This window comes from Homo sapiens, chromosome 15 (genome assembly GCF_000001405.40).
Source record: "Homo sapiens chromosome 15, GRCh38.p14 Primary Assembly".
NCBI classification, from domain to species: Eukaryota; Metazoa; Chordata; class Mammalia; order Primates; family Hominidae; genus Homo; species Homo sapiens.
This window is the reverse complement of record NC_000015.10, coordinates 101,652,558-101,677,176: the sequence shown is the minus strand read 5'-3', so window position 1 is coordinate 101,677,176 and position 24,619 is coordinate 101,652,558. Positions and strand designations below refer to the sequence as shown.

General features: G+C 41.7%; 1 protein-coding gene across 4 annotated transcripts in view, besides 6 other annotated features; it reads left to right on the top strand.

Moving 5' to 3' along the window:
* Nucleotides 1–23,581, top strand: part of TARS3 (threonyl-tRNA synthetase 3) — a 70,878-nt gene extending 47,297 nt beyond the window's left edge. For 2 of the 4 annotated variants that reach the window (NM_152334.3, XM_047432142.1), the window contains 7 exons: nt 1,440–1,577; nt 5,429–5,506; nt 5,591–5,691; nt 15,361–15,465; nt 19,320–19,392; nt 20,141–20,255; nt 22,447–23,581. In NM_152334.3, the coding sequence (NP_689547.2) occupies nt 1,440–1,577; nt 5,429–5,506; nt 5,591–5,691; nt 15,361–15,465; nt 19,320–19,392; nt 20,141–20,255; nt 22,447–22,595 (759 nt within the window). In that variant the 3' untranslated portion in view covers nt 22,596–23,581. Of the gene's footprint in view, nt 1–1,439; nt 1,578–5,428; nt 5,507–5,590; nt 5,692–6,251; nt 7,024–15,360; nt 15,466–19,319; nt 19,393–20,140; nt 20,256–22,446 lie in introns of those variants that run through there. The other 2 variants (XM_047432140.1, XM_017021912.3) reach the window with 2 other exon arrangements.
* Nucleotides 583–1,105: an enhancer, noted in NCBI's record as "NANOG-H3K4me1 hESC enhancer chr15:102216275-102216797 (GRCh37/hg19 assembly coordinates)". NCBI's record gives its function as "activates a minimal SCP1, AML or CMV promoter by ChIP-STARR-seq in naive H9 embryonic stem cells {active_cell/tissue: H9 hESC(naive)}" and the evidence as "EXISTENCE:reporter gene assay evidence [ECO:0000049][PMID:30033119]".
* Nucleotides 1,106–1,630: an enhancer, noted in NCBI's record as "H3K4me1 hESC enhancer chr15:102215750-102216274 (GRCh37/hg19 assembly coordinates)". NCBI's record gives its function as "activates a minimal SCP1, AML or CMV promoter by ChIP-STARR-seq in naive H9 embryonic stem cells {active_cell/tissue: H9 hESC(naive)}" and the evidence as "EXISTENCE:reporter gene assay evidence [ECO:0000049][PMID:30033119]".
* Nucleotides 23,502–24,392: an enhancer, noted in NCBI's record as "H3K27ac-H3K4me1 hESC enhancer chr15:102192988-102193878 (GRCh37/hg19 assembly coordinates)". NCBI's record gives its function as "activates a minimal SCP1, AML or CMV promoter by ChIP-STARR-seq in primed H9 embryonic stem cells {active_cell/tissue: H9 hESC(primed)}" and the evidence as "EXISTENCE:reporter gene assay evidence [ECO:0000049][PMID:30033119]".
* Nucleotides 23,502–24,408: a biological region, named in NCBI's record as "H3K27ac-H3K4me1 hESC enhancer GRCh37_chr15:102192988-102193878".
* Nucleotides 24,219–24,408: a silencer, noted in NCBI's record as "silent region_6893". NCBI's record gives its function as "represses an Ori minimal core promoter by ATAC-STARR-seq in GM12878 lymphoblastoid cells {active_cell/tissue: GM12878}" and the evidence as "EXISTENCE:reporter gene assay evidence [ECO:0000049][PMID:35858748]".
* Nucleotides 24,499–24,558: an enhancer, noted in NCBI's record as "active region_10195". NCBI's record gives its function as "activates an Ori minimal core promoter by ATAC-STARR-seq in GM12878 lymphoblastoid cells {active_cell/tissue: GM12878}" and the evidence as "EXISTENCE:reporter gene assay evidence [ECO:0000049][PMID:35858748]".

Genomic DNA, 24,619 nt, shown 5'->3' with positions numbered 1-24,619 from the left:
AAATGTTGTAAGGGTGGCCAGCTGTCTGGCATCTTTTAGCTCAGTCGAGTTAACACTTAAAAGTAGCCATCACAAGCCATTATCCTCAGCAAACTAACACAGGAATAGAAAACCAAACTCCATATGTTCTCACTTATAAGTGGGAACTGAACAATGAGAACAGATGGACACAGGGAGGGGAACAACACACACTGGGGCCTGTCGGAGGGAAGAGGAGGGAGGGAGAGCATCAGGATAAATAGCTAATGCATTCTGGGCTTAAATACTTAGGTGACGGGTTCATAGGTGGAGCAAACCACCATGGCACACATATACCTATGTAACAAACTACACATCCTGCACGTGCACCCAGGAACTTAAAAAAAAAAAAAAAAGGGTGTAGTGGCTCATGCCTATAATCCCAGCACTTTGGGAGGCTGAGGCAGGTGGGTCACTTGAGGCCAGGAGTTCGAGACCAGCCTGGCCAACATGGCGAAACCCCTTCTCTACTAAAAAAAAAAAAATACAAAAATTAGCCGAGCATGGTGGCGAGCACCTGTAGTTCCAGCTACTCGGGAGCCTGAGGCATGAGAACCGCTTGAACCCGAGAGGCAGAGGTTGCAGTGAGCCAAGACCACACCACTGCATTCCAGCCTGGGTGACAGAGCAAGACTGTCTCAAAAAACAAAACAAAACAAAAAACTAGCCATTGCAGTTAATGAATGAAAGACTTGATGTCTCAAATCCATCAAATTCCCTGCATTTCAGCTGCCTCTCTCTGGTTTAAGCCACTGTCATCTTGCTCCTAATTGACTCAGCCAGCTTCCTGATGGGGCTCTCTTCTAATCTTGCCAGTTCATTCCACATACTGTGAAAGAACACATTGACTCATGTTAGTCCCCTGCTTAAACAAAACAAAACAAAACAAAAACCCTTCATTGCCTCCCCGTTGTTCTCAGCCTAAAAAATCCATACATTCGCCTGGCTTTGAAAGCACTTAATTTTCTCTGGCCCCTGCCCACCTACCACACTGCCCCTCTGCCCTTCAGCCCATCGTATGCAGCCCCCCGACTTAGTCTGCTCCTCTGTCCACGGAGCCTTCAACTCAGTGTGTCCTCTGCTCACAGAGCTCCTGAGCTTCCGCTCCATGCAGAGCGTTTGCTTGTCCCCTGCTGCAGCTCAGTCTCACTTCCTCTGGGCAGCCCCTCCGTGCCGCTCTCCTGTGCGCGGCGCTGCCTTTTCACAGTACGGTTCCCTCGCCTACTCCTTCTCCATTCCCTGCACGTGCCTAGCACTCAAACGAAGGTTCAGCTCAGGATTGGATAAGCAACCAAAACAGGATCATCAACTGTACTCCATTAAAAACATGCTTTATTTCTGTCTGACATGAAGAATTGTATTTTTTAAAACATAAATGAATTTGATGTTCTATTTGAATGTTTCATTTGCTTTGATTTCAGATTGAAGAAGAAATAAAGGGGTGTTTGCAGTTTTTGCAATCTGTTTACTCAACATTTGGCTTCTCCTTTCAATTAAACCTGTCAACAAGGCCGGAAAACTTCCTAGGAGAGATTGAGATGTGGAATGAGGCTGAGAAGGTAAGAGACACACCTTGTGCTTCCTCTTCATTTTAGTCGTATGGAAGACACCTGAGAGGCTGCAGTCTTCACAGGAGGATGCAATAATTTGTAATAGAAATTTTGAACCTGGAAATTATGAGATAGATATATAGGTTGTAGAATGTGGTTATCCCATTATCTTTGTGACGGTGATAATAATACCTTACATTTGCTTCACACTTAAAGTTCATATCTGGCTTTTATTTATAGTCCTGCAGTGCTGGTCACTAATAGCTGGCCCAGGATTTTAAAGAAATCCTCTGATTGCTGTAACTCTCGGTTTGTGTGGTTTATTTTAAAGCATTGCCTGTTGAGTCATCTTAGTCCGACTGTAGAGTCCCAGGGCTGCATGGTCTAGATGTAGATGTGCATAGTCCCCTTCGTAGTCACGTCCTGTCGTGCCCTGCCCTGTGTCTGTCTGAAGACACTCAAGCCCAAAGATGTTACATCTAAGCTTTGCAAAACCAAGATAAGGAGATCATCACATTGCTTTTTTTTCTTAATAAACACAAAGGATATAGTGTGTTTCCTGTGTTCACTTTTATTAAAAATGAGGATGGTGTCATGGCCAGACACCCTGCTCTGCCTGTTAGTTCTCCTCTTCTTGGAATATAATAGTCCCCACTTATCCATGGGAATAAGACCCCAAGTGGATGCCCAAAACCCTGGATGGTACCAAATTGATGGCAATCAGGTTAAGGACACGTATCTGTTCATGCCTTCAACCCACAAATTTAATGCCCTTTCTTTTTTTCTTTTTTTCTTTTTTTTTTTGAGACGGAGTCTTGCTCTGTTGCTCAGGTTGGAGTGCAGTGGCGCGATCTCAGCTCACTGCAAGCTCCACCTCCCGGGTTCACGCCATTCTCCTCCTCAGCGTCCCGAGTAGCTGGGACTATAGGCCCCCGCCACCACACCCGGCCAATTTTTTGTATTTTTAGCAGAGACAGGGCTTCACCGTGTTAGCCAGGATGGTCTCGATCTCCTGACCTCCTGATCCTCCTGCCTCGGCCTCCCAAAGTGCTGGGATTTAATGCCCTTTCTTTTCTTAACTAAGCACTGTTCATGCACTGTGGCTGGAACTTTCGCAGTGTGAGGTGCAACAGCAAAAACTAGCATGAATTTCTTGTTCCTTCTTCACTAATTCACAACTTACCCAATGGATAGAAGATTTTTTTTTAACCATAGCTCTTAGCAACTTCAGCATAGGAGTCTTTTTTCCTTGTTAAATGGATAACTTTCACCTTTTCACTTAAAGGAAGCATTTTGTGGCTTCACTCTGGCATATCCAGATTGCTAGTAACACAACTCTTGTGCTTTGAGGCCATGGTTCAGGAAAATAAGGGTGACTGAACATAAGCACTGTGATACTGCATAGTTGATTTGATAAACATGGCAGCTCCCAAGTGACTAGCAGGTGGGCAGTGCACCCAGCATGGAGACTCTGGACGAAAGGACGGTTCACATCCCAGGTAGGGCAGAGTAGGAGAGTGCTTTATCCTGCTGCTCAGAGCAGTGCCCAATTTAAAACTTATGAGTTGTTTATTTCTGGAATTTTCCATTTAATATTTTCAGACTGCAGTCGACTGCGGGTAACTGAAACTGAGAAAAATGAAACCACAGAGAAGGGGGACTACTGTACTCCTGGGAGCTTAACACACCAATATGAGAAATAAGAATCAGAGAAGCCCTGGATTAATAGTATAACAATTATTTTTACGTGATTAATAGGTGCAGAAGCCGAGCAGAGGCTGCACAGAAGCAGTTTAGCCTTGAGCTCTAAGGAGGGCCTTCTCCTCCCCACTGACCCGTGCCCATCCTAAGCTCTTCTTCCACATCCACTGCATGGACAAAGAGGGCCAAATGAGATAGCCTATCTACCCTGGGAAGGATGCAGACTCAGTTTACCTAACAGCCATGTGGAAGCAGGAAGAGGAAATGAGGACACAGAGCTCAGCTCTGGAGCCATTTGCTCCAGACTTTAAAGTCTGAAAGTACTTTATCTCCATGAGTAAATTATAGAAGATCTATAAGCATCAGGATCCAGCATGAAATGGTGATGATGATAACGATGGTGGTGATGGTGGTGGTGGTGATGTAGCAATGACACCCACTTCCTGAGGGTATGGTGAACTTAAATGAAGGAATTTACATGGAGTGTTAGGCATAGTGCCAGGCACGTGTAAGTGCCCAGTAGATGTCAGGTGTTGGTATCGTTGTCATTACTCCATTCATTTGAAACTTGGTGGGGTGTGGGGAGCTGAAAAGGGGATGGACCAGGTATAGACCTGGCATGGGGAGAATAGGCTGGAAGTCCCAGCATTTTTGCTCCTTTCTTAATTAATGGGGGTAAATAGTTTAGCAGCCAAGCCTGAGGTCACCCAGGGGTGTGACTGGATGGACCTGCTTCCACTTTTGAGATATTTCTCTCCAATAACTAACCCTGGCCTGGAAATCACTGAGGTGAGCATTGAAATATTTTGTCTTCAGAAGTGTCTGAAATGGTTTGAAAGAGACACATCTTCATGTATCCGATGCTCTCTCGGCTCTGGCAGCTCCTACTGTGCCCTCCTGTCCTGTGTCCTCCAAGGCCCGAGGAGCAGCAGTGACCCCTGCTTTATCCTCTTCTCCAAAACTTGGCCTTTCCTTGGCTTTTTAGCTTCTTGCAGTCCCCAGAATTCTTTCCATCACTTGGTATCTGCTGTAGGAGGGCCTCATTTGTCCTGGAAACATGTACCTGTGTTCCTTCTCCTTTGAGAAACAGAGTGGAACAGGGGAGCGCAGCCTCCAGGCCCCGGAAGTGTCTCCGTGGGGTGGCTTTCTCTGGTCCTAAGTAGAAAAGAAGCTGCTTCTGTAAGATCAGGCCTATGCGGGACACTCCCAGGATCCCAGGAAAAAAATCTCCGTCTCTCTCAAGATCAGATCCTGACTGAGGTCCTGGGAAAGGCTGCCAGGACTCCAGGAGTCAGCTTTCCCAGGAGTCAGCTTTCTTGATGATGGCAGCTTCGGCCCTAAGACTCTGCCACGGCTCTGATTTCCCCATGAGGCGCGTCACTCCCAAGTCTGCCCCCTCATGGGCACCCGTATGTTGGAGGTGATGATGGGAGTTTGGCTCGTGTTTTGGCAGTACTTTTGGCCAAGGACTCAGGAATGCCCACGTGCTTCCCAGGGAAGCTGGATTCACGGGAATACTGGAAGACTCTGGGAAATTTTTCATTAATACACTTGCATCCTCACCTTCAATGTGGAACATCTTCACTACAAGCTAAGTTGAAGGCATGTGGTGGCTTAGGCTGAAGACAAAAGTGGAGCCTCATGCCTCCACACCCCTATAAATTATAAGTGACCCTCCCAGACACGTGCAGAGGTGAAGGAAAGGCAAAAAGGAAGTAGTAAGGCCTGCCCTCTTGGCCTTCTTACCCACCCAGACTCAGAGTGGAAGAGGGAGTGTGATCAAGGCTTTTCTGCTTTTTCATGTGTGGAGGCCCGTCACCAGGAGGCAGAAGCTGGTTGATGTGTAGGGCACAGGGGGCCTGTGTTGGGAGGAGGGTCAAAAGCGACCCCTCCCTAATGCTTACCTGGAATTCACTGGAACAATTTATAAATGATCTTTTCTCCCCAGTTGAAATGTTTATGTTTCTTTGAGAGCAGGTGCCACCTTAATCATCTCTGTGTAGTCCCTGCTCAATAGTTTATTGAATGTAAAAGATGCTCAATAAATATATGTTGAACTAACATAGACTGTAATGAAGAGTTATAGTAACTTTTGTGAGCTGTATGTAAAAAAAAAAGATACAGTGTATAATTGTATCTTTTTTCTTCTTTTGAAAAAGCAACTGCAGAACAGCTTGATGGACTTTGGAGAACCGTGGAAAATGAACCCAGGAGATGGAGCATTTTATGGCCCTAAAGTGAGTCGACCACATGCTTCAAAACAGCAAAATGTAAAAGAAAAATAAATACTCTTTTCTGAGCAAACATTATTTAATTTGTAGATTGACATAAAAATCAAGGATGCTATTGGCAGATACCATCAATGTGCTACAATTCAGCTGGACTTCCAACTGCCTATTAGATTTAATCTCACATATGTTAGGTGAGTGATTGAATGTGATAAATATTATAGTACTAATATTCTAATTTTTTGTCATTTGAGTATTAGCAATGCAAAAATAAACATTAGTGAATGTCTAGTATATGTGCTATACACGCAATATATATTTGTTTACCTGATCATAATCCAGTTGCGAATCAACTTGAATTTTCTGGTCTAGTAGCGGGAGGAAGATAAGTAAACATGAGAGTAGAGATATGAACAAAGTTCCATGAAAATATGATCCAGGCTGCTGACTCTCCCTGAGTTACAGGGGGAAGACTTCACAAAATGCTGGCATTGGGTCTGTGTCTTAAGGATGAGATGTTTTCTTGAAAAAGCAGGGGAAAAAAGGCAATTTTATCACTGTAAACCAACAACTTCTTTAAAAATAATACAGTAAAATTAACTCTGTGTGTGTGTGTGTGTGTTGTGTGTACAGCTTGATGGTTATGATTCTGTTGTTCTCTTGTGCTGCTCCTTTGTAGTCACACACTCCTCCTACTCCTAACCCCTGGCTGCCGTTAATGAGCTCCCCATCACCATAGTCTTGCCCTTTCCAGAATGTCATGTAAACGGAGCCATGCAGTATCGAGCCTTCTGAGACTGGCTTCTTTCACGTAGCACAGTGCTGTGGAGATTCATCCATGATTCTGCAAGTATTGATAGTTTGTTCCTTTCTGTCACTGACTAGTGTGCCATTGTGGATCCAATCTCTCATTGAAGGGTGTTTGGGTTGCTTCCAGTTCTTGGTGATTATGAATAGAACTGCTGTAGATATTAGTGTATAGGTTTTTGTGTGAATAGAAGTTTTCTTTAGGTTAAATAACTGGGAATGGGTCATATGATAATTAAATATTTAACTTTGTAGAAACTGCCAAACTGTTTTCCAGAGCAGCTGCACCATTTTGCATTCTCACCTGCAATGTGTAAAGAGTTCCAGATGTTCCACATCCTTGCCAGTACTTGATATTGTCAGGTTTTGTTTGTTAAGTAGTTCTAATAGGTGTGTAGTAGTATTTCATTATCTTTTGATTTTACATGTTTTTTAGTGGCTAATGATGTTAACATCTTTTCATGTGCTTACTTGCTATTCATTTATCCTCTTTGGTTAAAAGTCTGCCAAAGTCTTTTTGCTCATTTTTAATTGAGTGATTTGTTTCCTTACTGTTGAGTTTTGAGAATTCTTTATATATTCTAGATACTAGCCCTTGGAGGAATATATGATTTGCACATATTTTACCCTGGTCTGTAGCTTGCTTTTTCATTTTTTGTAATATCTTTACTTTCCCATTCATCCTGAGTTATTAAATACAATAAAGTTTAATTTCTCCATTTTTTTCTTTTATGGATCATGCTTTGGCATCATATCTATAAGCTCTGCCTAAGTACAGGCCATGAAGATTTTCTTCTATGTTTTATATTAAAAGTTTTCTAGTTCTAAGATCTGATGTGAGTTCATTGTTTGTGTAAGATGTGACATTTGGGTCAAGATTCATTGTTTGCATCTAAGTGTCTCATTATTCACACATCAGATGATGTAAGAACAGGCCACTATTTCACCATCGACTTGCCTTTGGATCTTTGTCAGAAATTAGTTGGACATATATATGTGGGTCTGTTTCTAGATTATAAATTCTGTTCTATGGGACCACTGATTATCCCTTTGTTCACTGTGTGAACATCACCGAGTGTGCTTACGCAAACCTGGGTGGTAGAGCCTACTACATACCTAGGCTAATATGGTCTAGACTATTGCTTCTAGGCTACAGACCTGTAAAGCATGTTACTCTACTGAATACTGTAGGCAACTGTAACACAGTGGTAAGGTATTTGTGTATCAAAACATATCTCAACATAGAAAAGGTACAGTAAAATTAGGTATAAAAGATAAAAAATGGTACAGTTGTTTAGGACAGTTACCATGAATGGAGCTTGCATAACCGGAAGCTGCTCCAGGCGAGTCAGTAAGTTGTAAGTATATGTGAAGGCCGAGGACATTAGTGTATACTACTGTAGACATTATAAACACTGTACATTTAGGCTACACTAAATTTAAATAATTTTTTTCTTCAATAGTTAATTAAGCTTAGCTTACTGTAACTTTTTTACTTTATACATTTTTGACATTTTAAAACTTTTGAATCTTTTATTATAGCACTTACCTTAAAACACAAATACATTATAGTTGTACAAAAATATTTTCTTTATCTCTTTATTCTATAAACATTTTTCTATTAAAAACTTCAAAAATTTTTACTTTTTAAGTTTTTTTGTTAAAAACTAAGACACAAACACATTCATCAGCCTAGTAGCCTAGGCCTACACAAGGCCAAGGTTATCGATATCACTGTCTTCCACCTCCATATCTTGTCCCAGTGGAAGGTTCCAGGGGCAGTACACGCATGGAGCTGTCATCACCCATGATAATAGTGCCTTCTTCTGGAATACCTCCTGAAAGACCAGCCCCAGGCTGTTTTACAGCTAACTTTTTTTTTTAAAGTAAGTGAAAGAATACACCTTAAATAACAATTAAAAGTATAGTGTAGTAAATACATAAACCAGTAACAGTTGTTTATTATCATTATCAAGTATGATGTACAGTACATAATTGTATGCACTGTCCTTTTATACAGCTGGCAGCATGGTAGATTTATTTACACCAGCCTCACCACAAACACCTGAATAATGGGAAGATTTTTAGCTCCATTATAATCTTACTGGACCACTGTCATGTATGTGCTCTGTTGTTGGCCAGAACACTGTTACGCAGTGCATGACGGTATATATATATACAGGCACAGCTTGTTTTATCATGCTTCACACTGTATAGCACTTCGCAGACGTTGCATTTTTTATAAACTGAAGGTTTGTGGCAGCCCTGTGTCAAGCAAGTCTGTCAGTGCCATTTTTCCAACAGCATGGGCTTACTTCATGTCTTTGTGTCACACTTAGGTAATTCTTGCAGTATTTCAAGCTTTTTCATTATTATTCTATCTGTTATGGTGATTAGTGATATTTGATATTACTCTTATAATTTTAGGGGGCACCATGAACTATACCCATTTAAAACGATGAACTTTACCGATAAATGTCGTCTGTTGTGACCACTCCACCGGCCCCTCCCTAATCTCTCTCCCTCTCCTCAGCCTTCCCTATTCCCTGAGACACAATAACATTGAAATTAGGCTAATTAATAACCCTACAACAGCCTGTAAATATTCATGTTTAAAGAAGAGTCATAAGTCTCTCACCTTAGATCAAAAGCTAGAAATGATTAAGCTTGGTGAGGAAGGACTGTTGAAAGCCCAGATAGGCCAAAAGCTCGGCCTCTTGCACCAGTTACCCAAGTTGTGAATGCAAAGGAAAAGCTCTTGAAGGACATTAAAAGTGCTACTCCAGTGAACACAAATGATAAGGAAGTGAAACAGCCTTCTTGCTGATGTGGAGAAAGTTTCCCTGAAGCCAAAGACTAATCCAGAGCAAAGCCCTAACTTTTCAATTCTGTGAAGACTGAGAGAGGTGAAGAAGCTGCAGAAGCAAAGTTTGAAACTAGCAAGAGGTTGGTTCATGAAGTTAAAAGAACCATCTCCAGGGCCAGGTGCAGTGGCTCATGCCTGTAATCCCAGCACTTTGGGAGGCAGAGGCAGGTGGATCACCTGAGGTCAGGAGTTCAAGACCAGCCTGGCCAACTCCATATGGTTGGTGAAACCCCGTCTCTACTAAAAATACAAAAATAAAAATAAAAAAATTAGCTGGGCGTGGTGGTGGGTGCCTGTAATCCCAGCTACTTGGGAGGCTGAGGCAGGAGAATCATGTGAATCCAGAAGGCAGAAGTTGCAGGGAGCCAAGACCACGCCACTGCACTCCAGCCTGGACAACAAGAGTGAAACTCCATCTCAAAAAAAAAAGCCATCTCCATAATATAAAAGTGCAAGGTAAAGCAACAAGTGCTGACGTACAAGCTTCAGCAAGTTATCCAGAAGATCTAGCTAAGATCAATGATGAAGATGACAACACTAAACAACAGATTTTCAATATATATGAAGCAGCCTTCTATTAGAAGAAGATGCCCTCTAGGACTTTCATAGCTAGAAAGGAAAAGTCAATGACTGGCTTCAAAACTTCAAAAGAGAGGCTCACCCTCTTATTAGGAGCTAATGCAGCTGGTGACTTTAAGTTGAAGCCAGTGCTCATTTACCATTCAGAAAATCTTAGAACCCTTACGAATAATGCTAAATTTACTCTGCCTGTGTTCTAGAAATGCAACAACAAAGCCTAGATGACAGCACGTCTGTTTACAGCATGATTTACTGAATATTTTAAGCCCACTGTTGAGACCTACTGCTCAGGAAAAAAAAAAAGATTCATTTCAAAAGATTACTGCTCATTGACAATGCACCTGGTCATCCAAGAGCTCTGATGGAGACGTACAAGGAGATTAATGTTTTCTCATGCCTATTAACACAACATCCATTCTGCAGCCCATGGATCAAGGCACAATTTTGACTTTCAAGTCTTGTTATTTAAAAATTCATTTTGGAAGGCATACTACACACTACATGCCATATACATTAACAACCTCATAAGCAATATTATTTTTGTTTTCAATCATAGTACATGTTTTAAAGAGCTTAGGAGGAGAACATTATATTATATTTACCAAATATTTACCATTTCTGTTGATCTTGTTTCATTCCTGATGTTCCAGGGTTCCCTCTAGTATCATTTCTCATATATCTGAAGATATAAGAGAATAAACAGTTTATTTAAAGCAGGTCGGTTGAAGATGAATTGCCTTATTTTCTTTCATCTGAGAATGTCTTTATTTTGTTGTACTTTCAAAGAAAATAACCTTCTTTGCTTGTACAATTCTGGGTTGATAGTTATTTAGTTTTAATATTTTAAAAATATTGTTTAAAAATATATATTAACTTAGTAGTATAGCAAGAGGACGCTTCTGAGGTTAATGCAAACTTTGAACACTCATCTTTTTTTTTTTTTTTTTTTTTTTGAGATGAGTCTTGCTCTGTTGCCCAGGCTGGAGTGCAGTGGGACAATCTTGGCTCACTGAAACCTCCGCCTCCTGGGTTCAAGCAATTCTTCTGCCTCAGCCTCCTGAGTAACTGGGACTATAGGCATGCACCACCATGCCTGGCTAAACTTTGTATTTTTAGTGGAGACAGGGTTTCACCATGTTGGCCAGGCTGGTCTCGAACTCCTTACCTCCGCCCACCTCAGCCTCCCAAAGTGCTGAGATTACAGGCGTGAGCCACCGATCCTGACCTAGAACACTCATCTTCTAATTTAAAAACAGAGACATCCATTTTTGTGTTAACCTTTGTTGCATCTCATTTCCAGAGTAAGTAGACATGAAATAAAATTTATGAAGGGAAAATACAGAACAATTTTGATGCTTACAGTGAGGTAAATATTAGAACATTACTGCTCCAATGATTCAGTGAGGATCTCGAAATGAATTCTGAAGTCTTCCAATGTTTGCATTTATTGGAGGGGCTCCCGAGTTCTATCAACTTGTTTTTTCAAGTCTTGTTCTCATCTTGTGCATAAATGTTAACGCTTCCCAAAGTAAAAACTTAGCTTTCTTACTTTTACTTTGTATTAAATTTAATACAAAATATGACCTGAGTAGTTAAAAAATATTTTACATTATTTGCAGTAAGATGTCATTAGCCCTTTCAAAGAGCAAATTTTAAAACTTCAATCTGGGTGAAAGATTGGCTAGTTTTATAGAAAGATTTGCCGTCTTAAACTCAAGCTGATTTTTCTATTTTTATGTAAATAACTGAGATGCCATCTTATTAATTCTTCCAAGGTCATGTTTGTAAAATAAACATTACATGAGAGCTTTCCTGTCATCTACACTGTATGTTGTTTAGAGTGTTGAACAAATTTGAGTTCCTAAGTTGTAATCTGTCCTCATGTGGTCTATGCTATTTGCACGTGTGCCACTACACGCTGAGATGATAACGCTGTACAATTTTAAATGGTAGCAGTTTCTGTAGGCTGTAGGCTGAAATATTTTGATGAACTGCTTAGTTTGGGGGTTTTATTTTTTAAGTTATATAATTTATTTTCTTGCAAAGTAAAAACAAAAAATATTGTTACACATGCTGCTGGCTTTTATGGTTTCTGATGAGAAATATGCAGTAATTGCAGTCACTTTTCCTTTATGTGTCACACGATTGTGATGTGTCTGTCTGTGGACTTATTCAAGTCTATGTTGTGGCGGTTTGAACTTCCTGAATCTGTAAGTTATTGGTTTGCAAACGTTGTATTGTTTTTCCATATTTCTTTGGTACTATACCTCCGCTCCTTCTGGGACGCAGGTGACCTGAATATTAGACCTTTTGGTATTTTTCCAGTTTTCTGAGGCTGTTTATGCTTCCTTCAGTCTTTCTTTGTATATCTCTCAGATTGGATACATTCTATTTACTTATCTTCAAATTCACCAACTCTTTACCATCTCTGTTGCTACTGAATCCATCGAATGACTTTTTAAAACTTTCTGTGATTGTAGTTTTCAGTTCTACAATCTCTGTTGTTCGTGTTTTGTGTTTCTTCCTGAGACTTTGGTCTTTCCAGTCACTCCAGGTGTGTTTACCCTGCTTCCTGGGGTACAGTTATAATGGCTATTTCTAGCCTTTGGTAATTCCATCATTTGTGTTTTCTTGCTGCTGGACTGTTGTTTGTCTTTTCTTCTCACAAATTGAAAATTTTCCTAATGATTCATATGCTAAGTAATTTAGGATTATATCCTGAATGTCTTGAATATTATGTTATGAGATGCTGTGTCTTGTTTAAATCCTAAGGCGGTTGTCTTGTTTTGGCAGTGAATCTGCCTGGTTAGGTTCAGGTGGAAATTTCCAGCCCACTTTTGTGGGCTGCGGTTCGGTGTCAGTTCAGTTATCGAAGCCTTTATAGTGATATTCACATCTGTTCCATGTGTTCGCCACCCAGTGGCCAAGTCCCATAGGTCATACCGTGTGCCAAAACGGAAAAGCTTCTGGGAGTTGACCTCTAACTTTTTGCCTGATTGGTACAGTGGAGTTAGTAGGACTCCGAAAAGTCTAATCTCTCCGTTTTGGAGGAGCAAGGGTCAGAACTATTAGAGAGAAAGTCAAACCTTCAGGATCAGTCCTACAACAAAATTGCTTAGGGCCATCAGAATGCAAGTGAAACTACTCATTTAAGGAGGACGTGGAGGAGAAACAAATCAGCCCAGCCAGCCATCATAGGTGTTGTGTGGCAAATGGCGAGTAGGCAAGCAAAGGTGGAAGCAGTGGATTGCAGACCAGGTAAGAAATGATGACAGTTGGAGCCAGGTGGCATAGAGATGAACAAAGTAGGGGTACTGGAAGTGTATTTTGGAGGAAGAACTGATGTGATTTGCTCAGGCTTATGTATGAGAGGAGAGAGAGAAGCATCAAGGTCATCACCATGATTGAGTAAGGGTTTTTCCCTAAAAAAGCAGGGGTGGATGAGAGTGTGCTGTTGTCATTCATTACATTCAGCATGCAGAAAGGCATCAGATAAAAGTTAACATTCATTCCTGTGAAATGAACAGAAATTTCCTTATCACGATAAAGAGCTTTTATCAGAAAACAGCAATAGCATCTCAACACAGTTGGGAAGAAGACGAATATGACTACTATTTGTATTGTTACTCAAAATTATTCTGGGATTACAAATACATGAAAGCAAGAGATAAAATTATTATTAGTAGATGTTAAAATATAGAGAAATCCAACAGAATCAAATGGAGAAATGGGCACTAATAATAATGGAAGGTAAAAATGCAAAAATCAATTTGCCTTCATAATGTTAGCAATAATCTGCTAGGAAATGCAATGGAAAAAACATTTCAGAAGCAACAGCAACCACAAAATAGAAAATATGAATAAACTTAATAAATATAAATATAGTCATGCATCCCCATAAATGTAGTCATGACAGGGATATGTTTGGAGAAATGTGTCGTTAGGCAATATCATTGTTGTGTGAACATCACGGAGTGTACTTACACAAACCTAGATGGCATAGGCCACTACACACTTAAGCTGTATGGGATAGCCTATTGCTGCTAGCTCCAAACCTGTGCAGAATGTTACTGTACTGAATGCTCTAGGTACTTGTAACACAGATCACTAGATGATAGGAATTTTTCAGCTTCCTTGGGTGCAGGACACCAGCGTGGCTCATGTATACATATGTAACAAACCTGCACATTGTGCACATGTACCCTAGAACTTAAAGTATAATTTAAAAAAAAATTTTTTTCAGCTTCTTTATAATCTCGTGGGACCACCATCATATCTGCAGTCCATTGTTGACCAAAATGTCATTAGGCAACACATGACTATAGATGTTATTTATAAGCATACGCTATAAGTTTTTCTCCAAGACCACAAAAAAGAGTTATTTAAATGAAGATTCGTACCACACTTTGGAATGAGAAGAATCAACATTGTGAAGTTATTCTCTTCAAATTTATCTATTAATCTAATATAATTGTAAGCAAATCCACTGGGGTTATTTTGGGGGAATTTGGCATTCATTCCAATGTTTATCTGATAGCACAGATGTGTAATCATAGTTTATGTCACTATTTGCTCTTCTTAAGTCTAGACATGATTCAAAGAAATGATGGGACAGAAATTTTGGATACCCAGGCTCTGTGAAAGGATCAGTTTGCTTCTCTTTCTTCCCTACACAAAATCAACATGATGGGATATTCAGGAATATTTCATACTGGTTTCAATTTTTGGGATGAATTTCTTCATATACCTGCATAGGAATGGACTCAAGCCGCTCACCCCTACCCCAAAGCTTCCTGTAGGGTCCAGACAGAGAGTTTTGCCTGCAGTTATTCTATAATGGCTCTTAGCAGAAATGGTTGGCAGTGATGATATCCAGTTACAACTCATTTGAAGTAGGTTTAATGAATGGGTTTCTCTGTTTTTGTTTGTTTTATTTTATTATTTATTTGTTAAATTTGTTTCATTTATTGTAGTAGTAGCTAGCTGGTATAATTTTTAGATAAAAATTTATCAAAAGAACTTTGTAAGTGTCGCATGTCACATTTGTTGCAATAATGTGAAATTTATCTTTCTGAGAAGCTTGTGCTTGTGCAGAGATCTTGAAGTGGCTTACTTCATTACAATTAAGTCATCATTTGCTTTTTTCATTTTTTTTTCCTAAGGGGAAGAGGGAATAATTAAATGTAAGATACACCTCATGAGGGTTTCAGGGAATTTGACCAGTGGACTTCAAGAACACATATCAGGAACATTTTAAAAATGAAGATTATAATGTGGGAGATAGTGGCAAGAATGGGGGTGCATTTGGATCAGATGAGATTGGCTGTGAGTTGACATTTTGTGAAGCTGAGAGAGGGTATGTGGAAGTTCATTATACTCTTCTCTCTACTTTTGTATATGTTTCAGTGCGCTCTAATAAAAAGTTTTTAAAATAAAAGAAAAAAGATTAGCAAAGAAAGCAATGAGAAAACAAGACAGTCACAGAACAAATAAGGTTAATGGAGAGATCTGATATCACTAATCTAAATCTATTCTCAAAATTAAATATAAGGCTAGAAGATAGTTATTGAATCTTAGGAAAAGACTTAAATGTATAATTTTCATTTTTTAGTAAGGATGGGGATGATAAGAAGAGACCTGTGATCATTCATCGAGCCATTTTGGGATCAGTGGAAAGAATGATAGCCATTCTTTCAGAAAACTATGGCGGAAAATGGTAAGTGATATGGAAAAGAAAAACTATATGTCTATTATTCTTTTTAATTTTTATTAATTTACTCATTTTTCCTTTTTAAAAATATTTCTATTCTTAAAAAATCATGTGTAAAAGAAAAAAGTAGTAACAAAAGAAAGGGCCTTTCCTGCCTTGTAATTAGCAATTGTCCAAACAGCAAATAAAGAATTCTTATTCGATTTGCCAGATCAGAAAATAAAAACTAAGGGAGAGTGGCATAAAACTGTACCATTTACCTTTTGGGGGACTCGGTAGAATTAAAGTTATCTTTTTACCTGTTTCAAGCCCTTCAGAGATCTAGTTGCTGTCCTGAAAACATGTGACCCACACTCCTAGGTACCACCTCTTGCCCTCCAGCCATCCTTCCTTCAACCCATATTGTTTGCCTTTGGGGTTCCCTACAGCCACTGAGGAGGAAAACATGTAAACCTGATTCATAAATGGCACAAACTCAAAGAGGATGGCTCAGCAGCACAGCCCATTTAGGATGACAGTGGGGAAGGGAAGTGTCCTAAAGTGCAGAATTTTGAGTGGTGCATCTTGTGGTCTTTTTTGAGTGGTGCATCTTGTGGTCCTTTTTGAGTGGTGCATCCTGTGGTCCTTTTTGCCCGGAAGGAAGAATGGCCGGAGATAAGGAGTTACATGGATGCACAGGCTCTAGTTACTGCTTTGGCCACAGAGTCAAAGATTTAGAACTAATTAGATTGAAAAACAAATTACATAGATTTGGGAAGCAGAAATGTGGATGATCACTCAGAATGGGCCAACAGAGGTGGTATTGCCACCAAAAGGCCCCCGCTGTTGAGGAATTTTTCAGTATTCCAATACAAGAGGACCCATTCTGTTAAAATCAGCTGCTTTTTCCCCTAGTTGTTGCTCAATGGCTCATGGGCAAAGTGGCCACTGGTGGATAGGCATGGGCTCAAAGACATGGACTTTGCCTCACTAAGTTCCATCTGGCTACATCTCTTCTGAGAATTCAGGTTGCCATCAGTCAGTGATTAATTGTGATCCCCCGGGATGGTACCATAACCTGGGGTAATAGCCAGTGGTCTTGTAGCAGGTTGATTACGTTGGATCCCTTTCATCATGTAAGGAGCAATGCCTCATTCTCACTGAAGAGAGACTCACTGTGGATTTTGCTTTGCTCTTCTTTGCTGCCATGCTTCTGCCAGTGGCACCAAATATGTACTTAGGTGCTGCCAGGAACACAACAGTGCTTCTGACTATGAAAGAGATTTTATAGCAAATAAGTAAAGCATTGCACTGACATTAAGGGATTCACTACTATCACCATGCATTCAGAAGCAAGTGGCTTTACTAGCAGTTATAGCACCAGCTGGCAGACAACATCTTGTGATGATGTATCCTAGTATGTGGAAATGCTGCAAACCAGCAACCACCTGTGAAATTTCTACCTCCCATTCCATTTTTAGAAATTGGCTAAGCATCTGCTCATGCAGTTTAGCTCTCTCTTCAGAAACTACTGCCCCCACTGCTACTATTGCCGGGCACAGTCCCTGCAGCTCCCACTGTGGACACTGGGCACCGGATGATACTGCTAGGGTCACTGCAACCAGTTCCTCCAAAAGCTCCATGTCTCTGCATCACCTTTCCTTGCCATAATGGATTCCATGTGGTGCCTCCTTCTCCACTCTGTCTTAAGTCAGAGTGCCATGTTTATACATTAGCAGAACCTAGATCACACCCATGCATACTACCATTCATGTCCAGCGAGACTGGGGAAGCAAATTTTTGAGCAGGAAACATAAGGTGGAAAGTTTCCCAAACAAAGTGTCTTCCAAAAGACCTGGGTAGCTAGAGAGTCTGTGTATATTCCTGATATTTTGTGATCATAGAGAAATATACTTAGGTATCATGGAGTTTCTAAGCTGTTGAAGTTACAGTTAAGCCAAAAGTATGGGTATGAATATGTATGCCGCCTGAGTATGAGTTAACATGTTTATATTTCTTTCCAGTTGGTTTTAAATAGTTTACCATAGGTAAGAGATGATGGTGTTTTGCATTAGAATGGTTGCAGTGAAAGTGGTTTAAAGAAAAGAGAGAGAACTAGTGAAATAGGAGATGGAGAGGGAGACAGGAGGTGGTTGGGGCCAGTGCACTGAGCATGCCTTCCTTTGTCGCAGAGACGGAAGTATACTCCCTGCACTTCATACATCCAGACTTCAGACAGCAGTCAGCCTTGTGGGGAAATCTCCCCAGGAGCCAAAAGTAAAGATGGCTAAAGTGTGGGTCCTTGAGAGGAGTAGGGCTGGGGATGGGATAAGGACAGAGCTCAAAAGGAAATATGTAGTTGCCATTATATACCCTGTATTTCTGTGTTCTACCATTTATCATGTATTGTTTTGTGTTTGTAATTTGAGAATAAATATATAAATATGCACATTTATAAAATGCTATCTGAAATAGTCCTCCTTGCATGTCCTTTCACCTTCAGACTAAATACTCACTATGACAGGGAAAGGGCAAACATGTCCCACAGCGGACACTGTTTATACCTACCCTGCCATCTTTTTTATTCTAGAAAAATTATATTTTGAAATAATTGTAGGTTCGCATGTTGTTCTAAGAAGTTATATAGAGGCCGGATGTGGTGGCTCACGCCTGTAATCCCAACCTTTGGGAGGCCGAGGTGGGTGGATCACCTGAGGTCAGGAGTTCAAGACCAGTCTGGCCAACATGGTGAAACCCCGTCTCTACTGAAAATACAAAAATTAGCTGGGTGTGGTGGCAATGGCTGTAATCCCAGCTACTCAGGAGGCTGAGCTAGGAGAATCACTTGAACTCGGGAGGCAGAGGTTGCAGTGAGCCGAGATCACGCCACTGCACTCTAGCCTGGGTGAGCAAGATTCCATCTCAAAAAAAATAAAAAAGAAGTTATACAGAGAAGTCCAGCACACTCTTTACCCAGTTTTCCTCAATGGTAACATCTTGCAAAACTAGATACAATATCACAGCCAAGAACTAGACATTGAGACTGTCCACCAACCTTGTTCCGATTTCACCAGCCTCACATGCACTCATTTGTGTGAACGTGTATTTAGCTGTGTCACACGGACAGATGGTGTAAGGCCACCAGTCAAGGCACAGGACAGTCCATCACTTGTAAGGCTCCCTCCTGCTGCCCTTTTTTCCCCACACTCAAACCATCCCACCCTGTCCTCCTATCTGACAGCCATGAACTTGTTCTCTAGCTCCATCATTTTGTCATATAAAGAATATTACATAAATGGATTTACAGAGTACACAAACTTTTGAAGTAGGCTTTTTTTTTTTCACTCAGTGGAATTCCCTTAAGAGCCATCCATGTTGTTTTGTTTCGAGATAAATTAGTTGGTTCCTTTTTTTTTTTTTTTTTTTTGCTGATGGTGTTCCACGTTCCACAGTGTGGATGCACCACAGTTTGGCCATTCACCCGCTAAAGGACATTTGGGGTGTGTGTTTCCTGTTTGGGGCTATTATAAATAAAGCTGCTATGGACGTTAGTGAGCAGTATTGTGTGTGAACCTGCGCTTTCATTTCTCTGGGACAAATGCCAGGAGTGCAATTGCTGGGGCAGACAGTAAGTGCATGCTCAGCCCTTTGGGCTGTCTGCCAGCTCATTCTACCTGCACTTGTGCTATCAAAATTCCAAAATTCTCCTTTCATTTACTTTGCTGCCTTCAAACTTTAATATAATTTAGTTTTCTTCCATGCTGCGCTACTGAAACTGCCCTCTTGTGAAGTCTTTAAAAGAATCTTTGGTTATTTGAAAATCATGTAATAAGTAGCCATTATTACACTTTGAAAATACATATTTTATATATATTTTTCAGGCCTTTCTGGCTATCTCCTCGTCAGGTGATGGTCATCCCTGTGGGGCCAACTTGTGAAAAATATGCACTTCAGGTAAAATCAGAGGTGTTTAAAGTACATAATAATCTTGCATGTATTCTGTGTAGGTCATCGATTTGGAGTGTCCTTCATGCTTTAAAATATTGCAGAACTGACACATTAGCTTAAACCGTGTTTTCAGCAGGTGGGAGTAACACACGAATCATGTCTCTGCAGCTGTCTCAGAACTATTTCATTCTTAATGTTTTTTGAGAAATTAGTATTTTAAAACATATCATAATTATTCATTTCTACACAGCTCTATTAGGGAAGAATATTATCTGTTGCTGTGTCACAAGTGACCCCAAAACTTAGCAGCTTTAAACAACAAACATTGATGATCTCACAGTTCCTACGAGTCAGGGTCTGGGAGCAGCTCAGCTGGTGGATTCTGGCGCAGAGCGTCTCCTGGGGCTGCAGTCAGGCTGTCAGCCAGGGCTGCGGAGCTCGGGGCTCGCTCACAGTTGGTGGATGCAGCTCCTCATCACCTGGGTGCTTGCTTGCCTGAATGTCCTCACTGCATGGTGGCTGGTTTCCCCCAGAGCAAGTGATCTGAGAGAGATGGGAGCTGCAGCCTTTTATAAACTAGTCTCAGAAACGATGCGCCGACACTTCCGCACTTCTTTATGGTCACGCAGACCCGCTCTGGTATAGTGAGCAGGGAACTATACAAAGGTGTGAATACCAAGAGTGGGGAACAACGGGGTCTTCTTGGAGGCTAGGTACCATAATGTAACAGTAAAGGTGTTTCATTTTCTTCTAGGTATCCAGTGAATTTTTTGAAGAAGGATTTATGGCTGACGTTGACTTGGATCACAGTTGTACACTAAATAAGAAAATACGAAATGCACAGCTGGCTCAGTATAATTTTATTTTGGGTAATTTAAGTTTGTATATATTTTTCCAAATGCTTTTTTTTCCCACTTCAATTCCAAAAGACCAAATAAGAAATATGGTTCAACTACTTGATTATCATGATTTGTCTATTTAATACTTACACAAAAGGAAGAGTCCATAGCATTCCTAGCTTAGCTGTTCCTAGGTACTCTTTGTTGTTTGCTGGAAGAAGAGTTGTAAAGTTTCACCTGAATCCCCTGGGATAGTTTTACTAGCAATAGTTCATATTGCAAGCAAACAACGAAAACAACTCTGAAAATGATCCCATCAGTAGAATTATATACTTTATATTTCAGCCTCACAGGCCTGTAATATTTTCCCTCACTTTTCTGGCTTATTAGGAAACTTTGGGATTAAACTAACAGAAAGAAAAGATCCCAAATTTAAAATGATCTAAAGGAAAAGATTTAGATGAAAAGTAAAATGTCCTTTTAGCATATGACTAATTAGATGCAGAATCTAAAATTTAGGCTTTAAAAATGATTCCAAAATTAAGAGAAACTAACACTGATATAACTGCAGGCACAGTATTGCTATTTCTTGTAAGTTGAGAGTCTGTAGAAGGCGAAATAAATATGCATAGCATTGTTCTATTGACAGTGTTTCAATGATAATGTTTGACACCAGAGTAGGTATTGTGCTGTTTCAGTCAGGCTTCTTATGGTGGCAGAAATCTCAACTTGGTTTAGACAAAGACAGCATTTGTTGGAAGGGTCTTGGAGTATCCCATGACATGAAAGGTAGAATTAAATAGCCAAACCACTAGAAGAGCAATCAGGAGCTCAACCCTCACCAGGAGTATTTCTCCCCATTTCTCGTTCCTGTCTTGCTCTGGTTCTTTATGCTTCTCTTGAATATCTACCTTATTCCACTTATCTGCAGACCGGTTTCTTCCTTCTGTGTGGCAAGAAGCATGGCTGTAGATTCCTGCATCATCTCACAATATGGGTCACTAGAGAGAACAAACTTTTTACCCACATTCCAGAAAGTTCTGGCTGGCTCGCATGGGTCTGGTGTCCACTCCTTGGCTCATCAGGTATGCCAGGTGGAGTCAGCGTGAGCCTGTAAGAGCTCCCCGCTCTCATCTGCACCCTAGTGCCAGGTGGGGTCAGTGTGAGCCTGTAAGAGCTCCCCACTCTCATCTGCACCCTAGTGCCAGGTGGGGTCAGTGTGAGCCTGTAAGAGCTCCCCGCTCTCATTTGCACCCTAGTGCCAGGTGGAGTCACTGTGAGTCTGTAAGAGCTCCCCGCTCTCATTTGCGCCCTAGTGCCAGGTGGAGTCACTGTGAGCCTGTAAGAGCTCCCCGCTCTCATTTGCGCCCTAGTGCCAGGTGGAGTCACTGTGAGTCTGTAAGAGCTCCCCGCTCTCATTTGCGCCCTAGTGCCAGGTGGGGTCAGTGTGAGCCTGTAAGAGCTCCCCGCTCTCATTTGCGCCCTAGTGCCAGGTGGAGTCACTGTGAGCCTGTAAGAGCTCCCCGCTCTCATTTGCGCCCTAGTGCCAGGTGGAGTCACTGTGAGCCTGTAAGAGCTCCCCCCTCTCATTTGCACCCTAGTGCCAGGTGGGGTCAGTGTGAGCCTGTAAGAGCTCCCCCCTCTCATCTGCGCCCTAGTGCCAGGTGGAGTCACTGTGAGCCTGTAAGAGCTCCCCCCTCTCATTTGCACCCTAGTGCCAGGTGGGGTCAGTGTGAGCCTGTAAGAGCTCCCCGCTCTCATTTGCGCCCTAGTGCCAGGTGGAGTCAGTGTGAGCCTGTAAGAGCTCCCCGCTCTCATTTGCACCCTAGTGCCAGGTGGGGTCAGTGTGAGCCTGTAAGAGCTCCCCGCTCTCATTTGCGCCCTAGTGCCAGGTGGGGTCACTGTGAGCCTGTAAGAGCTCCCCGCTCTCATTTGCGCCCTAGTGCCAGGTGCAGTCAGTGTGAGTCTGTAAGAGCTCCCCCCTCTCATCTGCACCCCAGGACCACAAGAGCTGTTCTCTCAGGTGGACAATAGAGAGATGGGATCAGAAGTCATTGCTTCCCTCAAGAAACTTAACTATCAGAGGATGAACCAAATGCTCATTAGATGATATTTAATATTAGTGAAGAAAAACTTGATAAAAACATGTCATGGGACTGCTGACTTAATGTTTGGTAAATTGCTGATTTAAAATACATTTCTTTACCTTTCTTTTCTGCAGTGGTTGGAGAAAAGGAAAAGATAGATAATGCTGTAAACGTGCGAACAAGAGACAACAAAATTCATGGAGAGATTTTAGTAACTTCTGCCATTGATAAACTGAAGAATCTCAGGAAGACACGGACACTCAATGCTGAGGAGGCCTTTTGAAGTCCTTCCCTGATATTTGCTTCTGTGTAACTTTGTTTTGACCCTTAAAAATGTATTTTTCTTAACATGTTAGTACTTCTACGACTTTGGAGCCACTGATGGGTCCACTCATGGCCTCAGCTGAGAAAGGAGACGATGAACGTGTAGCTGACATGCACGAAGTTTAATTTACTCATGTCCACGGGGGACGTTTAGAGGGCACGTGGGAAATTTTCCAGCAATCAATGCCTTGAGAAACTTAAATGGGGAAATATTATTCATCGAGAAAGTGAAACAAAACACTAGGAAATGATTATGAAATGTTAGTGATTTTCAAAAGATGGGCTTCAAATAAAAGTCTGCAGAGTTTTTTTTAAATAGGAGGGAAAATCTTATTTTCTAATATGTCTCAGGTATTTTTATGACTTCTACTAAAATTCACACTGAAACTTTATCTTCTAAACTGGAATCATTACTTAATTTTAACTAACCAACAACCACAAAAGCAGCAGCTACTGCTAAATATTGGATTACTGACAAAGGAATTCAGTTTTGTGGAATCTGGTGTTTGCACTATAGGTTAAGAGTTGCCATTTAAATGTTTCTTATTCATAATTAGGTTTTGTTCCGCTTTAGAAAAAAATAAATTCCCAAATGAATTGCATCAGTGTTTCCAGCGTTTCAGCTGTGGGCTTCTACCACCACTAAGCCGCTCACCTAGAGTTGTTACTTTTTTGATGGGATGACATTCCATGGATTTATGTACTGAAATGGATTTCAGATTTTAAAGAGAGGAATGCTCTACGTGCTCAGAACTGAATTAAAATGGCATTATGTCAATAGAGAATTCAGCTACCAAACAAGAAGTATTGTTTATTTTGCGATATGCTGTGAAATTCAAAAGAAATGTAAGAAATAATCTCTTTTCAATATACTGATCATTTAGTTAACTTCCTGAGGGATGTGAACAGTGAAACAGTTGGCAAACAAAACAATATATATCAGGCTTGTGTAGTAGTATAAGGTGCAGATTGTGTGATATGATTTTTATTATTTATTTTTTGAGACGGAGTCTCGCTCTGTCACCCAGGCTGGAGTGCAGTGGCGCGATCTCGGCTCACTACAACCTCCGCTTCCCGGGTTTAGGCGATTCTCCTGCCTCAGCTTCCCCAGTAGCTGGGACCACAGGCGCGTGCCTCCACGCCTGGCTAATTTTTTTGTATTTTTAGTAGAGACAGGGTTTCACCGTGTTGTTAGCCAGGATGGTTTCGATTTCCTAACCTCGTGATCCGCCCGCCTGGGCCTCCCAAAGTGCTGGGATTACAGACGTGATTCACCGCCCCCGGCCGTGATACGATTTTTAAAGCTAACATTCAGGGCTTATGTGCCGGCACTTTTCCATGTATTTTTTAAAAAGTCATTCAGCAAACATGCACGTGAGGGGGTGGTAGTCAGAAGACCGCGGAATGAACGATCCCGAAGCACGTGGGTGGGAGGAGAGCACCTGTCACCAGCGCTTTCTCCCAGGTGTGCTGTGACAGAAACCGGCAAGGGTCTCCGCAAGCTGGGGCCTGAGCGCGGCTCCCCAGACGGCCGCGACCTTCCCCAGGCAGGGCTGGGCTCTGGACCCTCCCCTCACTTCCCAGCGCCTCGGGCCATCCTGCTTCTCCAGGCCTGAGAGGAACTTTCTGGAAGTGCTGCGTATCTTCAAGAGGCCGGCCAGAAGTGAAAGCCGCGGCAGGCCTGAGCGCCGGCCCCAGGGGAGGGGTCCCTCGGGCCCTCGTCGTCCCGGGGCCGCTTCCCCGACTGTAAATAAGTGTCTTTAGGATGAAACGCCACGCGATAGTGTCCTCGGAACCTTCGCACGAGATCCAGCACACAACATCCGACCACACACTGGGGCGGCCAGCCTCCCGCGTTCGCCCGCCTCTGCTCTTGGTTGCTTCGGGCGCGCATTTCGGTCCACGGATGACCTTTAACAGGTCTCCTGCAGTGGAACCAGGGGTGAGGGCCTCGTCCAAGGGCGTGAGGGGCGCGTGGAAATG